The 21,000-nt window shown below is 42.7% G+C and overlaps 1 protein-coding gene across 19 annotated transcripts in view, besides 1 other annotated feature; it reads right to left on the bottom strand.

The window, feature by feature from the left end:
• Positions 1-21,000, bottom strand: part of SETBP1 (SET binding protein 1) — a 388,438-nt gene that overhangs the window by 233,445 nt on the left and 133,993 nt on the right. The window lies entirely within an intron of this gene.
• Positions 7,142-9,546: an enhancer, noted in NCBI's record as "VISTA enhancer hs2336". NCBI's record gives its function as "enhancer in: hindbrain (rhombencephalon)[4/4]" and the evidence as "EXISTENCE:transgenic organism evidence [ECO:0001131][PMID:17130149]".

Raw genomic sequence — 21,000 nt, 5'->3', positions numbered from 1 at the left:
CAATCTCCCTAGAAACTCCAAGAAGGCCCATCTGCTCTGATAAAGATCTCCCTCCCCAGCCTAGTCGCCTGTCTGTCCCACCTCATACTTCATAAGCCAGCCATACCCTTTCCTCTTTCCTCTGCTTAGAAAACTGCTCCTGTTTCCAAGTACCTACAACTGCACCCTTTCCAGAGAACTGCCCTTGGCTCCCCTCTCCCTCCTTTTGATTTAACTCATATCCTTTCTTGTCCCTACCATGTCCATGTGGGCCTATGTTGAACAAAGGTATCTGGTTGTATTTTTAGTTTCTGTCTTGCCCCTGTTGGTCACTTTCTACACAACTCCTTGAGGGCAAGTAATTCTATCTTAATTCATCTCTGAATCTCAGTCCTTGCCACATCTCCTGACATTTGACGAGTGTACAGTAATTATTTGATTGATTAATCATTACATTTACTGGTCCCTGCTGATGGAGGACATTTGGAGAACAATTGATTAACCCCTTCTTCTCCTGCTCTGTGCCTCTTCTATAGCTTCCGGGGGCCACAAATCATCTCTGGGATTAGCCACCTTCTACCCATCCACATATACTCTTCCTGCTTGACAAACACTCAGGAAGCCCTCCTTTCGACTCACAGCTCTGAATTGGCCATTACCGTTTTATAATCTATACTGTCAGTCTAGTTCATACGTACTTAGCAATTAACCATACATTCCCAGGTGCCATGTCTTGACTTATTCACTGTATTGTCATTCCCATAAAGAGGTATCTCATTAGTACTCTCTCTATGCAAGGCTTAGCACCATGTTCTTGCTGAGGAATGAAGCCAGTAAATGAGGCCCCAGCCCTCTTGGGAGCTTCTGTGTGCAAGGTGAAACTGAAGGTAACCCATAGCATAGCTGAACCATCCTTGGAGATCTATATACAACGGATCCACACCCATTATCTCATGCTAAATGAGGAGTTTAATGCCTTCCCTGAGTTTCTACAAATTCCTGAAGTCCAGTCCTATGTTCTTATTTTTGATTCTCTATTCTGATGGAAATAAGATCTTCCCCCTTCCACAAACCTTCTTTTCAGTTTTCTACTCTGCCCACACCTACGTTAAAATTTTCAATCATTTCTTATGCAGAACAATTTATTTTCTTTCATGCCATGCCTTGCAGGCCTCACCTTTTATACCCAAAACCAGGTATTTGTTTAACAAAAGAACATACATTGTCCAAGAAGCAGAATCAAAGGCAAATCTTGTAATTTAAAAGATCCTTTATCTTTTCCCCTTTCCACTTAAAATAACTACTGCATGAATTGCTATGAGCCAGGGGAGCTTGGAGTAAAAAGTGGCCATTTCTGAGCCAGGAAATGCAGCATTTGCAGACCGTATTCTCTGGATTTAAGGAAGCTGACCCACCTTTGCATGTCTGCCTTGTGGGCAGGAACCACTGGGCACACTTCTAGCTCTCTCCTCGAAGGCATTGCTCTCTGTCTTGACCATTGTTTCCTGGGCCGTAATTAATACTCATCCCTATTTTGTCTGCCACTTCTGGTCCAGTTCCCAGGCCCATGTAATGCAGGAAGGCCAAAGGACAGACATGGGCTTTGGTACCCATGCCTGTACTTCCCAGTCTTCCAGACTCCAACAACCTCCCACTCCCAGGGACTCTCCTCATTCTTCCAACCCTCTGGTCACAGCAAATCATCACACTCCTACTTCTCGGAACACTGGAGGAAAACCAAGCTCTGCTAGGCTCTCAGAAGCCTCCCTTTCTCCAGAAAGATCTTTCCACCTTAAACACAACTGCTGCTTCCAACATTCTAAAAGTAAACTTGAACATGTGTCAGAAATACCTGGAGGGCTGAGCCCCACCTCCAGCATAAATCAGAAGATCCCAGGTGAGGCCTGAGATTTTGTACTTCTATCAAAACTCCAAGGTGATGGTGATACATAAGTGCTAGCCTAGGCACTTGGCTTACGTCATGCCCAGCCTGTGGGCTCTTAGACTTACCGTCCAGTATCTTAGGCCCCTAATCAGAGCAGACACTTTCCATCCACCTCCACTGTCCCCAGTAAGACACAGTGGCACAGTGGCTGGCCTTGGACCCAGAGGTGATGGGTCTAGGGTGAGACTATGCTCTAAGGTGCAGCCCTGGCCTGCTGCAGACATTTGTCCAATGTGATTAAAAATCAACTATGAAATGCTTCAGGGGCCAGAAGACTGGGAGAGCTGAGACCCGACTTGCAGAACAGCATGCATTTTGTGTAACTAGCCTAGATCGAGTAGTGTGTGGGTAGACAGCTGTTTCTCATTCAGGGACCAGCAGGGCCCAAGGAATGGGAAGCTAAGAACAGTGCTGCCCAGCCAGGCCCCTGTAATGAGAACCTGGTGGGCCCATCAGCCCTGCCTCAGAGGGGCAGGAAGAGATGAGGAAGGCTGGGGAGGGGGACCCAAAGGGCACCGAGTTTGGGGATGTCAGCATTACCTAGCAAATATCCTGATGCTAAGTGAAAAGAATAACTATGGATATCTAGTTCTGCCATGACTAGTTTGCATCCTGGGATTTGGAGGAAATTCAGCCATACCAAACAAAGAGCTAGAGGGGCTCGCCCTGACTGCCATGTTTCTCTGATGATGTGTTTCTGAGACAGTGGTCAGAGAGCCAGGGGCATCAGCATTTCCTGAGCACATAGTGAACATGCAGATTCCCAGGCTCTGCCAGGTCTTCAGAGTCAGAACCTCTAGGGGTAGCCCCGGGCCTGGCCTGGGATGCTGCATGCTACAAAATCTCCCTGAATAATGGTTATGTTCACTGATGTTTGACCAGGGTATAACTGGTCAGTGGCTTGAATCTGACCTGTGCTGGAAGCCTACACCTTTTTCAACTCTGTTTTCAAATTTATAAATGATGTCTAGCGTCACCTGATGGGCCTGACAGTCAAAAATCATAAAAAAGGGCTCATTCCTGTCCACTGTATCCAAAGACCACCTGTTCTCCAGAGCCAAAGGAGGCATGTTGCTTCTCATTCTTAGCATTTTAAAAATCAACCTATTTAATAATCAATAAATCTTTATTGAATACCAATTTTGTGCTTATCAGCCTATCAGGAGAATGCAAAAATTATAAGCCATGATCCTTGACAGCAAGAGTGAAAACACAGCAGGATAAACACAACTCAGTCCCACAGAAGGTCAAGGACACCCTAAGGCAGAATGCACAGCAAGTGAATGGGAGGGCAGGTCATGGGCGGATTTAAAATCTGTTACAATCAGTGTCACAATCACCTAAATAATATTTATTTTAATTCAGGAAGTCTACATGCCTTGTGTTACCCAGAACCAATAGTAACAATAGCCTTCATTTATAGAACATGTATATGGCACCAGACATGAAGAGTGTTCACCTTATATTACCTTACTCACTCCTCTTCATAACCTGAGGCGATAAGTACAATTATTTTTTAATTATAAATGAGGATTCTGAGTCATTTGGCTCTTAACTATTTGTCCAAGTTCACACAGCTAGTAAGAGATGGAGTCAGAACATAGTATTTTCATTGTTAGTCTTATGTTTGAAAATCATGAATATCTGAGTCTAATGTAATTAAATGTCAAACTTTGGCAAGATCATTGAAAGTCATAATGGTATCTAACCCAAAGGAAGAAAAGGTCAGCAATGTTTTCAAGAGTTAGGAATAAACCTCATGGAAGAGATGGACCTTTGGAGGGGAAATTCTGAAACTTGCTAACCTTAGATATCCCTTAATCACATGTCTGGTTTTATACAGGATAGTGGTAGAAAAATCTCTGGGAATCTCTAGGGAAAGTATTATGTCTAAAATAATCCATGAAAACAAGTCAAACTGAGCTCACTGTCTATGCTACACTACTCCACATCAGTTGAGGCCAACATAAGAACGGTTCATCATAGGCAATGTTCACAAACAGGCCTCTACTGGATTTACAAAGTTTACAACTGTGCTTATTTGTCCTTTTTTAAAAAAGAGGATTGCGAATAAAAACAGAAAAGAAAAGACAGCTCTATACAAGGCCTTCAGCACTCTGGGAAGTCACTGAGCAGAAAATTGAATTTAAGTTTCTCCAAATGATACATATTCCCCATCCTCCCAATGCTTTGTGGAATGATCCACTCCCTCTATAAGGCAGTCATGAAACCAAGGAAACACTTCAAACTGGAGAAAACACAATGTACTGTTTTGTGAATCCAGACTTTTGGAATCAATTCAAATTCTCAATGTATAGGGTTTCTACCCCTCCCCTCCCCCAAATAGTATACAGTAACCTTCAGTCTTCGTGCAACAGAATGTTTAAAACTTGTGTGTGGTTTTCCTGTATTCACTGTTTACAGAGGATGAGAATAAAATTGTATTCTGGCCAAGGAAGCAGAACAGTATCCCTAGTAACTCTGCTCTCTGAGAGCTGTCCCACCCAGCTTCCATCTGATCAAATCCCAAAAGTTTGCACTGCACAATCAAATAAGCAGAAACACCCTTCGTATAGGCAAAAAAGAGACAGGAAACTCCTCAGTGCAATTAGAGGACTTCCAAACATCTCCCCTACACATCTTCCCTTAGCCTGAAATTCTCCCTTTAGAGATGCTGCCAAGATTTTATAATAAAAGATGTGTAAAATTACATTCTGGAAAGAGCCTTTGAGATCTTCTAGGCCAGTCCTCAAATTGTATGGTTGAGTAAAATACCACCTTACATAAGGTCACTGTTTTGCACAAGAATTTAGTTTTTAAACTGCAGCAGCACTTCCCAAAGAGACTGTGTTCAGTAAAATGCTGGTCCTTTCTGACTTTGGGTCAAAATAAACGTCCCATGGTCAAATTAGTTTGGAAAATGCTGTGTGGATTACATCACCTCCCCTCTTCTCCCTTTTGTGGATTCTCAATGAAGATTAGTACACTATTAAAGATTCCAATAAGTTCTACCATCAAGAACCCAATTATTTAGTTTTTTTCCCCAAACTTATTTACCTACTTAAATTTTTTACAATATAATTTTTACTAACATGCAGAGGAATGAGTGCCTCTGTGTAAACCATTTGGAAAGTATGACATTATATCATAGTGTGTTCTCTCCTTCATGAGAAAAAGACCTCAAGAATACTATTTTATACTGATTCACATTAAGTTATTTAGAACCCATCAAGTCTCATTTTCCCCCTGACAAGAAGGGTTAGGCAATGGTAAATAATGTGGATACGTAGAAGGATCTGAGACATGCAAAATATACTTTGACAACAATCTGGCCTTGAGCATGGCCAAATTTTATAAGTGGGACTGTGCCACATCAAAGAGATTAAAGACAAGGACTCAATCAACTGACCGCTTTGCCCCTCCGTTATAGAATTTCATCCTGATTTGATTTTTAGAAATCTTATTTGCACCAGACCACTAATTTCTACTATAAGGTTCCTTTCCCACATTTTTTATGAGCAAAATAGCAGACACACAGTAGGTGCCTAATGATGAGTTGAGATTAAAAATGTCATGTTGCCGAAACAGAACTGATCATGGTCGGCCTTCTTCTTGATGGAAACCAGGATATAACTAGACTCAGGATTTCATTTTACTAATTTTTATTCATCTTAAGCAGTTTATTTTTTCAAAAAACATTTAAGTATTTTCCGTTGTTCAGCTGACTTACAAGTCTAAATAAACTCAGTTTAGATACACTTTATCAGCAAAATTTCGTCTTTTCAATAGAATTATACTTGACCAAAAAAAATTATTCACAGGCGTCAATGCAATAGGGCAGATCAGTAACATGTATACGATGTTCTGAGCTTGCAATCTTGAGAAACAAGAAGGTACACCAACAACCAAGTTTATAATAACACTTTAACGTCTAATCTGCGGATTCAGAAAACCCACATGGACCCAAACAGGGCTTGTAGTGGGAACCATTTCTCTTCACTCTAAGTCACTCCCACCATTAAATGGAGATTGACCTTAGGGAATTGGGAAGGAAACTTTCACTGTTTTTCACTCTTTTCCATTTATCTGGTAGATGTAACCAGAAAAATGTCTTGTCTTAGCATGAGCTACTTAACAAAATACCACAGACTGGGTGGCTAAAACAACAGAAATTTATTTTCTCCTAGTTTTAAAGGCTGGAAAGTCCAAGATCAAGATTATAGCAGGGTGTAGTGTCTGCTGAGAGCTCTTTTCCTAGCTTGCAGACAGCTGCCTTCTCCCTGTGTCCTCACATGGTGGAGAGAAAGCAAATGAGTTCTGTAGTGTCTCTTCTAATAAATGCACTAATCCTATCAGCTCAGGGTTCCACCCTTATAACCTTACTTAACCGCAATTACTTTTTCACTCTGAATACAGTCACATTGGGAGTTAGGGCTTCATTGTCTACATTTGGGTGGAAGGGAACACAATTTCCTCCACAGCAGCCCTGTAGATACAAAGCACAAGTCAGCAGAAGCTTCTTCTCTTTTTGTCTCTCCTTCCATCATCCACCCCCTTTCTGTACGACCCTTCATATTATACAGGATAGGAAAAACAGTCAATGTTCAAGAAATAATTTTCAAAATAATTTAAAACAGATTGGAATAGATAAAAAATATCTCATTCCCTCAGCTGCCCCTGAAATCACCATATTCAAAGAGACATCAAGTTCAGTAGTATCTGAATTTTCATCTACTACATTGAATAATGACTGATGGTTCAAGAACCATTGCCAGAGCTGTCAAGACAGCACATGTGGCAGCTCACAGATCCTGAGTCCCTTTGTTTTCATTGCCATGTGACAAGGCCATGGATAACCTGTTTCACCGCATTTCAACATAACGGAACTTCCTAACTGGAGATCCCTGGGGCCCTGTCAAGAACAATCAGCTACATAAATTAGAGACCACTGTGCTGATCTTTTTTTTTTAAACCAGTGACTTGAAGACAACAAAGGGACATTTCAATCATAGTTTGAACAATGGCAATATTAAGTGCATAGTGTCACGAGAAGAACACTTTGAGAAGTGAATACATTTATGTGAATGTATAATAAAGTCAAGTTTGTGTTTTGAAAAGCTAGTCTCTTAATCTCTCTTGCTTTGGACAGCAGTGTTACCACCTTTCTTAATTTCAGATCATCAATAAAAGGTTCTGAGCATGACTAGGCTTGAATAGGCACTGGTTGGCCATATTTTGCTTTTCTTACTTTTCTTCATTTCCCACCTAGGGAACTACAGGGAAAGTGTGGGTACCCATGGCAGAGCTGGTTGAAGGCTTAACAGGGTCAACAAATGTGGCACGTGCAGAGTGTACAATACTAAACCTGTGCCATTTTCAGAGACTATATTTTGACTATAATGCTTTGATCGCCTAATGTTTCTATAAAGTATGCAGTTTCTCTTTTGGTATGAACTTCCTCACCCAAGAAGAATAAGGTTTGTTAACTCTAGCTGAAAATGCCAGTCCTCCATGGTTTGATTGATAAGGCTAAGGCCCAATATACCTGCATCTTCCCAAACCCTAGCATAGGGGCAAACCACAAAAGACCGTCAATGATATACATTTGATAGTGAAGATGTATATGTTGCAATGAAGAAATGAGTGAATGAGCTATCATGGGGGCTGTCTGACATGTCAGCTCAATATTCAGAACCGACCTATTCCAAAGTCTAAGAACAACAATCAATATAATTTCTATTAAGAAATTTAGAGCAAAGAGAATGAACTGAATAACACAAGCGTGTCTCTAATGACACGTCTATGGGCAATTCTAGTCTAGTGAGGAAGGGGATGCAGTTAGAATCCAACTGTCCCACCATCGTCACAAGCTTTTGTTTTTGTTTTGCTTATTTTTCTTTCGGAAACTATATTGGGAAGTTCCTTAATTAGAAGCTCCCTGATTTCCTACCATAGAATCTAGGAGAGCATTTTTTTACAAGTTTCTTTTCTTTAAAAAGAAAAAGACATTTGTCATCAAATAGAACATGTCATCACCACTAGTGAGCCCTATGCTTATGCTACCACACTGATTGCATCATGAACTGAGGTACTTCAGTAAGCATTTCTGGGGCCAATCAAGTGAGGGAGAGAAGCTCTCCCATGGCATTCTTAGCCTGCATTGGATATAAAGAAGAAAGCTCAAGAAACTGTAGTTTCCCTCTGTGGCCCTTTTGTGGGCCCAAAGCAGCTATTAAGGATCCTTGGTGTTCCTGGATTATGTGCTAAACAAACCAATGTTTGAACCACAGAAGGGCCAGGCTGAGGCTGGTCTGGTCTGCAGGGGCCTCCTTTGTTTGGGGGTTGGAATCATTCCTTGGTTCCTTTTCACTACTCCTCCCCACCCGCAGCTCCTTCCCCTCTCCCAATTCATTCTTTAAGAATTTATCCTGCTGCTTCTTTAACTCAGCATGTGTCTGGGCAGATGTCCAAGAACGCTCCCTTCAACAACGACAACAACAGGAACAGGAAAAAAAAAATCCTCCACTTCAATTCAGTCCTCCCTGCTCTTGCTAGCTCTCCCGTCTCTCTCCTGGCTTTTAGCAGCTCATGATTGATAATGCCCCCAACTCTCTCACCCTGGGACTCCACATGCCTTTCTGCTGAACAACACCTTCTCTGTGAGGCAACCTGGGAGCCCAGCCACTGGGCCCTGGAACCCCCTTGGGGTCTTTTGAGAGAGAAAAAAAGAAAGGCCAAAAAGGGGCCCTAGATGGGGGCAGACCCAACAGGTACAAAGCCACCAAAGAGCTGAATGCAATGAGCTTTTGTGCGAGGGCCAGGGACTGACGGAGGTGGAGAGAGGCAGGAGAGGCGAAAAAGGGGTGAAAGGGCAAGAGGGTCTTTCCATACCTCTTTGCCACCCATTTCTTTGCCCCAATGAATGAGAAAGGCAACCACAGTGAACCTCCAAAGGACCAAGTATATTTTGAACCAATGAAAATCATTACACTAGAACTTTCCTTTGAACTCTATTGGCCTCTGTTGACCTTCCTTGAGAGACGACATGACATTTTCAATCACATTTAGTTACAAAAAGATTCATCTAATATTTATTGAGAACCTACTAAATTCCAGGTATTATGCAAGTCGTTTGCTTATGCATTTAACTCTTGAAACATCAAGGTACTAGTCACTCTTTATTAGCAGATGAGAAAATCGAGGTGTAGAGAGATTAGTTCCCTTATCCTGTATCACACAGTTAGTAGGTGACAGTGTTGGGAACTGAACTCAGGTCTTGTAATACCAAGGACCATACTTATTCCGCACTACTCTGCTGCTACAGTAAACTTTGAGAAATAAAAGAAAGACTGAATGAAGAGCTCCCGGCAAAGACAAGGACATTATTATTATTCTAGTATTTTTATTTGTACTATCCATTAATTCTGCATCAAGAAATCTGCATCATCCATAAAACTACTTTTCTCCTTTCTCATCAAAACTATCTTGGAATACAAAGGTCAGGTGAAGATTGTCCCAATGTTGATAAACCACATTATCTAATTTTACTTTATAAATGTTTTCTTGGATATCCAATTTAACATTATATCCTTTACATTTCAAGAGGGGCAGTTTGAAAGCCTTTGTCTTTTTTAAAACTGCTCTTAAAAAATATTATCTACTATATAAGAGACAATTCTTTTTTAAAGATACTTTTAGAAAAATTGTGTGCCTTTTTCACTGGATGAAAAAATATTCTGATAGATAAACCTGTGCTCTCGGTTAAACAAAAACTGTCATATAAGATGGATCCCTTCTCTTTCTGGCTTCCAGCAAACACAGCCCACATCAGTCCTCCATGTAAAAGATCAGAGCCTTGAAGGAGCCAGGTAGCTCCCAGTCCTTTTAGATAATCTCTGCTTTGCTTTCCCCCTAATTGCTGAATTTTTATTACACTTGTAAACCTCTGAAATTCCCTTGGAAACAGGCAAGACATAACTCTAAGATCTATCCCAGTCTAACTCCAAGTCTAGCACCATAACTTGAAACATTAACCTTAATGCCCCCAGGTGGGGATAGAGCAGAATAAGATACAGCAAGTTCCTAAGCAGAAGTGAAAAAAGTAACTCTATATGTTTAGGTGAATAATGTGCAGGAGAATCTGCACTCCACTCTACCGGGAGCAGAGGTGGGAAGCAGCTACTCCAAGTAAGAGCAGGAGAGGAGCAGTCGCCATGGCTGCAGCAAGACCAAGACTTTGCTCCTTTATCTTCCTGCTTCAGGATTTCCCTCCCTTACCTACTTGCTACGATGACCCACTCCCTTTCTTCATCTGCTTCCCTAGGCAATCACCACTTCCTTCCCTTCCTATTGCTCTCTTTCTTCTGCCCTCCATTTTCCTTCTCTTCCCATCCCCTTCTTTTTTTCAATTGCATTAAAAGGGCAATTCCCTGGGGAAAAGAAAAAGAGGAGACAGCCAAAAGGTTGTAACTTGTCATTTAGAAAATTATTCTGCTAATGTTGAATATTAATGGGTCTTTTAAAATGAAAGATACACACCTCTGGCAGTGTTATGTTACACCGTCAGAAATATAGAGGCGCAATCAGGAAATCCATCAGCAAATACCTTTGGAGCATTTACTTTATGCAAGAACTGGGTTAGTGAGGTGATATTGTTAAAATTATGAATAAATTTTAATGTGGACCCTTACCACAGAGAGAATAGAATCGAGTGAGATATACACATATGCCACATTCAATAACCCAAGTGAATCATACAAAACCCTATATAGATCCCATGTTATGTGCAGTAAATAAGCAGGTATCAGGGTAGAGTGCTAGAGACTAGATGGGCACCACCGAACTCTCAGAGGCAGGGTGCACTGTTGGGTGGGCTCAAGGAAGGGTAGCTTGAGATGAGCTCTGAAGGATGGTTGAACTTTGCAGAGAAGCAGCAGAAGAGAGCTGCAGCCTTAAGATTTATGCCCCTGCCCTACCCCCACCAAACACAGACACATAACACAGATGCATATGCATGCACACACACACAGGCAGCCACTTCTCAAGTCAAGGTAACTGGTCTTAAGATTTGGGCAGGAGTGAAAAGAAGTTTGAATGGAGGTTAGGGTGAGAATGAGTAATGTCTCCTGTCAAGACACTGAACAGTCATCCTCACAGCCACCTGGGATTACTGCCATGGTTGGTATGAAGCCAAAGTGCTCATACATGAAGGATTCACCAACTATTGTTTTCTCTTAAATTCAACTAATCCCATAACCAAATGGTTTTAACCTCACTGCTCACCTCAAGAACTTACCACAACTAAGCAGAACAATGAGGGTGGGAATGAAAGGAGTAAAATCATTTCTTATTTGTGAATCAAGGGGACTGATCTCACAGATCTTTGGCTCTCCTATATATATCATCCCCCTTTCTACTGCTTTGCCACTTTAGCTAATAAAGATTATTTCTATTTCTTTATTGCACAAAAGCCCCAGGTCTCATAAACAAGGGGTCTGCTCTGCATCGAGGTTTGAACTTCCTTGACCTGAGCATAAGTCCTGTTCTAGAATATTTTTCTCCCGGTATGTGGGAGTCCCTAAGTCAGCAGCTCGTAAGCCTGAATAGAAGTGAGTCCTCATCACAGAGCAAGTGTTTTCAGCACCAAATGATAGAGCTAGGCATAAGAAATAAATGCCACCTATTTCCTGCTGAATCATTTATTTGCTTTCTGAAAATATAACTGCTTATTGTTAGAGCAGAGAGGGAGAAGCTATCATTGGTTTTTGTTTCATTTGGTATTTTCCTTCAGATGGATGAAAGCATGGATCTTTTTCACTAGTATCACCTGTAAGAAAACAAATCCAGGGATATCTATTTCTTTTTATTCTGTTAAATGCTAAAAGCTTGCAAGTAACCAGTATCCACTCTAAGATTTTGACTCTGCTGGATATTTTGTGTAAGCAGTAGTCTATTTTAATTAATAAGACATGAAGAGCTAGGCAAAGATAAATTCTCTCTTATTCCTTTTTTTTGGAGAAGTCTCACTCTATCGCCTAGCCTGGAGTGCAGCAGCATGATCTAGGTTCACTGCAACCTCCACCACCTGAGTTCAAGTGATTCTCCTGCCTCAGCCTCCTGAGTAGCTGGGATTACAGGCTAACACCACCACATGTATTTTTTGTAGAGATGGGGTTTCCCCATGTTGGCCAGGCTGGTCTCAAACTCCTGACCCTCTGGTGATCCGCCCACCTCGGCCTCCCAAAGTACAGGTGTGAGCCACCGTGCCCAGCCAATTCTCTCTTATTTCTATACTCCATTGAAAACAACTGTAATTGTTGACTTTCAACTACATGTATATGTGTACTAGTGGGGAGGTGAGATTGGGGGCACCTAAGTCAGAGGCCCAGGTTTTCAATAGTGGAATAGCCATTGTCATATGCTACCTGTCAAAACCATAGCTTCTCCATGTAGCTGCCATAGGGAGCAAGTTTCAGTTCAGTATCTTTAGCGGAGGCAGTTGAAGAGTGAGGCTAATTGGTGAATAGGGTTAGCAGAACGAGCTGCAAAGAGTTGCAATCTAACTTCTAACCTAATCATCTACGCATCTTCCCTATGGCAGGTGGTTAATTTCTAAAGGAAATTTTGGGATGAACAGCTAAAGAATTTAAACACCCTTTACTCCATGACATTTTGATTGGATCTTATTTGCCAGTCAGTGGTTAAATGTCAACTATCAATAATTTTAGAAGGCAAATTTAAACTGATGAATATTTATGTGCAAGACACCACTAGATGGTATGAAAAATAAAGAAGGGGATAAGACATGGTCACTCTCAGAAACTTCTAACTTCCCAAATACTGCCTGGACTGCTGATGATGAAGGACTTAGGGATAGACCACACTGACCTTCAATAACTTTCTTCTCAAAATGGGAGTGCTTGGTCAAACTAAAGAGCTACAAATGAAGACAGCAAACATTCTCCCTAAATCAGACATGGAATTCGTGTTCCAGACTGGATTATTCCATTCTGCAGAACAAAAGTCACTGTTGTACAAATAAACAGAGTCACTCAGTCAACAAATGCTGATTGAACACTAGCAGGAAATCAAAGAAATAAAGGGAGAGACAAGTGAGAATTTAATCAGTAGAGAGGAATATCCTTTAAATAATGGCTTCAGAGAACCCCAGCCCCTTCTGCCTTCCTGCTCCAGCAGCACCACACAAGAGGGGCTGTGCTGTCACAGATGTGGGGTACAGCTCTTGACAGCAGGCGTTCCTAGCTACGGACAGCACACAAGTCCCCAGGTACACCAAGGAGACCCAGGTCCTTGCTAAACAGCTCTGATTCTGAGGAAATTCTTTTGAATACTCAACTGAAACCTGCTTCTTTGTAGCTTCCACCCATGAGTCTTTCTTTCCCGCTGCAATAACAGATATTAAGGAATCAGTCTATGTTGATACATTCAACTACAATACAAGCACTTATTTAACACTCAGCTGTGTGTCAGGAACAGGGGATAGGCAGGGGTATATAAAGTCTTTGAGAAACCAGGGGGAGAAGAAAGGTACATAAACAAGACAATAAAATGGAATTAATACTCTGTTAGAAGGATGCCTAAAGAGGCATGGGTCCAGCCATGGGTGAGGTAGTGACCATTCTGCACAGGGGAGAAAGTGCCATTTAAGTTTAGAAAGTCTCTGGACAAGCCAATTCTGAAAGAGCATTTGAGGCAGAGGTAGGGCCCCGCAAGGATGTATAGGGACACAGAAAGACAAAGAATGTCTGAGGAAATCCAGGAGACTGATGTGACCATAATGACAGATGCAAAAGGAAAGAGACGCACCAGCAAGAGCCTCAATTCCACCTTCCAGAGTTTGGATTTAATTCTGTAGAGGACAGGGAGCCAGTAGGGCCTGTTAAGCAATGCCTTTGCTGGAAGGTGGGCAGAGAAGGAGTTAACGTCCTGATTTCACGTATGAAAACAACAGTGGCACAAAGAGATTATGCCTGAGGCCACTCAGCAAGAGAGGTCTGGAACACAGGTCTTCCTACCCCCAACCTAGACTGCTTTCCACTAACCCATGCTGTTTCCAGAGTCAATACATCTTTGTGGGAAGCAATATATTTCTTTGGATATCCTGTGGGGAGCAAGATCCTTACCTGCCAATAAGGAACTGTAATCCTCTTACTTCAATGAAAGGAAATGTTACTTTGATGGCTCCCAAGCTACCAAGTATACATTTCTATCAAGTCACTTACCACAATGTCATTGTGACTCTTTATCCATCTTCCTTTTCCCACTAAATTGTGAGCTCCTTGAACTCAGAGACTACATCTTCAATCAGTCCATAAGACAAGTGTTAACTGAGCAATTTCCATGTGCCAGGCACTGTGCTAGACATGGAATATTTCCACCGTAAGTGATCAAGACATGATCTCTGCCCATTGTGGAACTGGAATCATTCCAACCCTGCATTCCCAGGAAGTGAGCACAGGATTGACATTTCAGAAAATTGTGTGGATGACGAAGTGAGGGAGCTAGTAGAGTTGCACTATTTTCCTCCAGTATGGAGGGTCTCTGAAGCTGTGCCCTGTGCCTGCACAGTTTGTAAAGGAGAAAAGAACCCCAGGTCTCAATCTTGGTCCCCATCCCCCACCCACCACCATTCAGAAATATAAGGCTTAGGACAGAGACATACACCAGGCTGGACCTCACAGTTCCCGCCCACATAGAGGACCAGCAGGTGCTAGATCTCTCAGCATTTGATGGCCAGGAAAGTACCCAGTCAAAAGCTACAAGAGTTAGGAAACAGATGATGTCTTCACTCCATTCTGGTGTCCTCCCCCAGAACATTTACACCTGCCAACCAACTGGTGTGATTGAAAAAATGAATGCCCTAAAACAGGGAGTTGACTAGGCTGTAGGTTCAGCACTGTGATTCCAAACCCAAATCCCAGCCATGTGACTGCCTGCCCGCCACGTGGCGCTCAGCTGGGTGGCTCCAAGCCCAGCCTGGGCTGCCCTGGTGAGGAATGTCCCCCTACTGAGCTGGCCAGAAAGGGCTGCCAGCAAGCGCTGCCACTCCTCATAACCAGCCAGTCTCCCAAAGCTGCCAGGACAGGCAAGCCTAGTACAACTTCCAGTTGTCTGTTCCTTCCACCATCAGCAATGATGACGTGTACAGCAAGGCAACTTTTTTTTTTGTAAAGAATGATCCTTCTTCGCCCTAACCTGGTTGTTGAGTCCTTACTTTTTGCTGCTGGTTTGGAGATCATTACAATTTGCCTTGTCTTCAAGAGGTGTCCATGTAGGTTACACGCAGTCCCAGTTCATATTGAAACAATCATTCTCAATGGAAATTGTTAGGGTCCAATTGTTGCCTGATTTTAACCTGAGGACAGGATTATCATGTAAGCCAAAGCAGACCAAGATAGTCAAGCCATGTGTGATCTCAGTGGGGGCACACAATTACACTTCCTTGTGGGGCTGTGAAAAGATGCTAAATATGCAGTCACAGGGCCTGGATGGGAGTTTCCTTCCTCTGCCCTGCATGGGACCATGAGCAGGCTGCTGACCTCTGAGGATCTAGTGTCCTCTGCTGTAATACAGGGGTACCCTCTGCCACCACTTCGGATCTTACGAAGATTAAGTGAGAGAAAAAGCTTCCATTTCCATGTGCACCTCCACCTACTTTCAAAAATGTTTTTGTGACAGTCTGCAAATGAAGGAAACATACACAGTAAGCCTTACCAGAGAAAGAAAACATCCAGTGATATACAGAGGGAGGATGAAAAGGATAGAATTATACCCACACTCTCTCAGCTGACAGAGTGACAGATAAACATTCAGAAGTTCTGATGAGAGAGAAAATGAATTTTGCGTGTATCTGGTGTCTGGTACTACTGCTCAAAAGGAAACCAGGTGATGGATTGCCCATCTCCAACCAAAGGTAGCATTTTGATTCTTATATATCTTTTGAAAAACAGCGTGACACATGTATCAAGAGGAAAAAGGGAAGTCTACTCCCACTCTCAAGTATCTGTCTGAATGAAACAATCTCAGAGAATAAAAAGCTACATAAAAAGCTGTGCAACTACTTCCAAAAGTAGTCCAATAATAGTAAACCATTAAAGTAAATGTGTGTGTATACACACACACACACAGACACACACACACACACACACACATTCAGTGAAATATTGTCCGGTAATTAGAATCACCAAGAAAACATGGGGAAATATTTGTAACCATGGTAAGCGAAAGCAAACTCAAAAGGATATGTAAGATGATGAGTGTATGGTAGCATGTTTTCACAGAGGGAGATGGTGGAAGGGCACTGGTTAACCGCTAAATATAATCGTGTTATGATGGTGAGGAGTGTGTGTGTGTGTGTGTGTGTGTGTGAGTGTGTGCGTGTCTTTTCTTTTCATAAAAAGAAATCTCAAATTGTTTTTATAAACTCTTTTGTGAAGATAAGTATCACAAATAGTAGTTCATGCCTTTTAGATCTCTGTAGACCTTTAACTTTGCATGAGGTAGGCAGGCATGATTTCAATCTTTTTAAAAGGTAGTTAATATGGATGGGGGATGGGAGTGGGAGTTAAGACATTAAACAAAGCCCACAGAAGACTCTGGTGACCTTGGCAGCCTTTGGCCACTATCCCACTGACCATGGTCACTGGTTTTAAACCCAAGGAGTTCCCATGTCAGAGTGGAAGGCACACTCCGCTGGGAGTCTTGGGTTCAATGCAGCCTGACCTTGGCCAATGTCACTGCCCGGCTGGGCCTCACTTCCTCATCTGCAAAACAAGTTGGTTGAGATCAACGAACTCTGAAGTCCTTCTTTCTTTAAGGTTCGGTGATTTTATGATCCTCTAAATCTCGACATGAATAAATTCCTTTCTGCATGTGAAAAAACATGCAATGAAACATCTCTCCAATTAAAAAAAATGCTTCTCAAAAGGCAGCACAGACTAACAGAGAGTGCAGAATGTGGGGTTAGGCAGACGAAGTTTCGAATCCTGACTTGCAGCTTCCTGGATGTTTACTCTTTCAGAAAATTATTTAATCTCGCTGTAATAGAAGATTAAATGTGGTGATTTATGAAACTCAAGAGTGGTGCTGAGTGAGTAAAGACACCTGGTTAAAACAATGTTCAAGCCGTAAGTCAATTATATAGCAAAACACGTAAGTCTGGAAGCTTATATATGTCCAAAGACAGTAAGTGCCAGACTTTTTGAGACAGCTCTAATTTCCCATACTCTGGTTGCCCATTGTTCCCATAAGGACACACATGTTTTGATTTCAGTTTGGAAAGTGCAGTCATGGTGCACCTCATCGTTCAACAGAGACCCACGTTCCTCCTCAACCAAGAAGACTTTCTGATTTTGAAGAATGTTCGTAGTCCCCGCATTTTCCCTCCACAAGACAACACTCATGTGTGAAGCCTTTTTTTTTTTCTTTTTTTTTTTTTGAGATGGAGTCTCGCACTGTCACCTGGGTTGGAGTGCAATGGCAGGATCTCAGCTCACTGCAAGCTCTGCCTCCCGGGTTCAAGAGATTCTCCTGTCTCAGTCTCCCGATTAGCTGGGATTACAGGTGCCTGCCACCACGCCCAGCTAATTCTTTGTATTTTTAGTAGAGATGGGGTTTCACTGTGTTGGCCAGGCTGGTCTCAAACTCCTGACCTGGTGATTTGCCTGCCTCGGCCTCCCAAAGTGCTGGGATTACAGGGGTGAGCCACCTCTTGAAGCTCTTTACTGGGCTAGATTCTTGCCTGTGTTCTGCGTGGAGGTGGTCTGACAACGACAGAGACTGGGTGTTCTATTTCTGAGGCCTCAATATTTAACTGCGTGACCCTAGGAAAGTCACTCGCCCAGTTTGGGCTGTGGTTGCCTGGTGAGCTGGCTGGTTTGGAATGTAATGAAGCCTGCAGCTTTCAAAAGTAACGCTCTTCTGTTAGCTACCTGCACTTTTTGTAAAGTCTCTTATTAAATGCTCTTCGTTCTACCCTAATCACTACATAAAGTCATTTGGATCCAAGCCTTCTAGGTTTAGGAGCAGCAGGGCTGTGCCACTGTGCAGATCCGCCTCCTGTCGATTGAGGGTATGCACCGTACCAGCTTGGAGATCCCTCAGTGCTGTCTGGATTTAACCTAAGGGGCAATATTATCATCTGACCCCAAACACAACAAGCCCCAGAAGATCGTCAATTTCCCTAAATCGCTGGCTGGATACATGTTTAATGCATTCTTGTCAACTCAGAGTAAGACACACAGTATCCTGGGTCAGGAAAAGGCAAGAGGACCCACGGGGAAGGAAGGGAGGTGCAGAAAGTGACAAATTTGAAAGGTGTTTTTTTAAAAATCCTAACTGCTTCTTTGTTAGAACTGGATCCAGAAGAATAAAAATTTAGGGGAGGGTATGATGTGGGGGTGTTGAACTGCGGTGTTCTATTTCGTTGAACACAGGCCTCTGACAGGTTGTAAAAGCAGCATTTATTTCAGCAGGCAGCTGAGGACTCATTCACGGAAAGGCTACGCCCCTTCTTTTGCTGATGCTCTGGTGTGCACAGAAAGGACTCCCGTCCTGGCTTGATAACTGGATTTTGATGGGAAATTTTCCTTCTAGTAAAGGCAGAGGTAGGGGAATCACAGAGGTACAAAACTTACCACTTGCCTTTCCCATAGTCTGGCCAACCCCGCCCCAAAGGGCTCCCTCCCTTCTCCTCCTGCACCCCTTCCCCTCAGCCAGCTGCTGACCCCTCTCTGTCTTCCCAGTATATGCTGCACAACTGCCCCTCTAGCCTGGCCCCTCAGGCTTTCCTGAGAATTTGCATTGTAGCCTTTGCTTGCACCTGCTACACAGCCCCTCCCCTTCGCTCTCCTCTCAGGGGTCTGCCCTAAACCTCCTCCCACCCATGAGTAGATTCCCAGGCAGATGACTGCAGCACAGAATGAAAAAGGCTTGTGGAAGCTGCTGTTCCCTTCCCCACCTGCCTTGCATTGGCTTTTATGGGACGATCCCTTGGAGCCCCTCCCTCACCTCCCCCTCTGTCTCCCAGGCCTCCTTCTTTCATCTATTGTCCCTGGTTCCCAGGGTCTCTCGACTGTTTCTCTAATTTGTTTATTGATTTGGGGAATCAAATCACTATTGTTCAGCAAAAGAAACAGTGTGGTGTCACAGAGGACTCATTCATGTGGCCTCAGAAAAGCTATATTATAGACTCTGGACATTGAAGCTGGGAGGGTCCTCCAAGATCATCTCTTTCAAGCTTGTGACTTCAAAGATGAAACAGAGGCCAAGAGAAGCTGCAGGCCCCAATTCCTGGGCATCCATATGTCCTCAGGCTGTTGTTTTGCCTGTCTGAGTCTCAGTTTCCTCATCTGCCTGGCAACAGAAACAATGTGTTGGAATTTCAAAGAAAATTTGACAATCCCAATTGTGTTGGTTGACGAGAGCAGCTAATGGGTAATCCTGGCTGCAGCCTCACTGTTAATACATGAGTCCTATCACTTGCCCTGCATCCTCCAAGGGACAGAAACTGGAAAACACTATATGCATGAATAGCAAAGGTATCAGTAGCATCAAAAAAACATGTCCAGAAAAGCTCCAGATTTCTGCCACTTGTATATCTCCAGCCCCAAGAAAATGACCAAAGTAAACAGTAGCCAAAGAGGAGTCTAATAGACTATGTCTCATTTGATAATTCAAATGTCTATTGCCCATTTCTCCCTTCTTTGCCCCTGAAAAGTAGATACGGGCTGCCCCGTACAGCCTCCTCTTCAAATCCAACTCACGCTTTAAAGTTCAGTTCAAAACTCCTGCTGATAATTCACATCTCAAAGTCCTAAAGTCCAGATGGGTTTTACCACACATTTTAATGTAAGACTGTGTGCGGTCTAACTTTGTTTCCTCATCGAAAGAGTTCAGTTCCTAACGGTGGGAACAATACTTTCCTCTATTACTCCTTAGTGCTCAACATGCACTGGAAATATGATAAGAGCTTATCAGGTGCTTGATTTCTGAATCAAGGAGAGAAGAGGAATACAAGTCTTCACTTAGTTGCTGGCACAGGATGTGCCAAGGCCAGCAGCTATATATCTTCTCACCTCACCATCAGGGTCTGTCATATGAGGCAGTCCTCCCTGCCCAACAATATGCTTATGATATTAGAGGGAGGCTACATAGCCAATGTTATGAGATTTCAATTGACACCAAGTACAGCTAAACAGGATTCAAGGACCCCAAATTCCACATACTTTATCTTAATAGCCACCTCTACACACCTGTCCTTACGATATTTCACCTACCAGAAAATGCTCATCACCAAATCTGATTATCAATCCAAGCCAATTTTTAAAAACCTGTTCAGATTCTGACATTCTGGAATACTATGAATAGCTGCACAAGTTGTGCACTGCCCGACATCAGAGGTTACAGCTCAGAGTGCGGCCAGCCTGCATCTATCTCTTCTCTGAAGCCTTAAAGATCATTGTTCATATGGATCTCTGATTCTTAAAAACACTTGTCCTTGTCATGTGGGGTTTTAATCAAACATTCGGTTACATAGAGAAGGAATTTTATTTAGTCTTGGCTTATCACTAGAAGCTCCTACTTCCTAGGCCACCTAAAATTTGCCGTCATTTAGACTAACAGACAGTATGTCTGCTTTGCCAATTCTAGATGTGTAAGAAGCCATATATCATGTTGGCCCAATTTATTGTAATTAATTCAATTTTTAAAAAATCAGCAGCACTCAACCTGGCCCTTGGATCTGGCCTTCTGTTTAATTTGCTATCTGTTTTCTTTGGGCCAAAACTCCTCCTAACCCCACCCAGCAACCTCCATTTCTACCACAACTATCTTGCATCTAGTGCAAGTTTTGCATGAGGCAAGTTCTTGATATATTCTTATATAACTGTGCAAATTCAATAAGCTAGAGGTAGTTTCTAGAAGATTCTACTCTCTGTTCATGAGTGTGGTTCTCTGTACCAACCTTCCCCCATCACCCTACTCCCACTGGCCTAGGTGCATTTTCTCTACTCCTTCAGCCCTTGCCTCAGCTATAGATCACATTCTCAGGTTATTTT

Source organism: Homo sapiens, chromosome 18 (genome assembly GCF_000001405.40).
Source record: "Homo sapiens chromosome 18, GRCh38.p14 Primary Assembly".
Lineage (NCBI taxonomy): Eukaryota > Metazoa > Chordata > Mammalia > Primates > Hominidae > Homo > Homo sapiens.
This window is presented reverse-complemented; position numbering and strand designations above follow the sequence as displayed.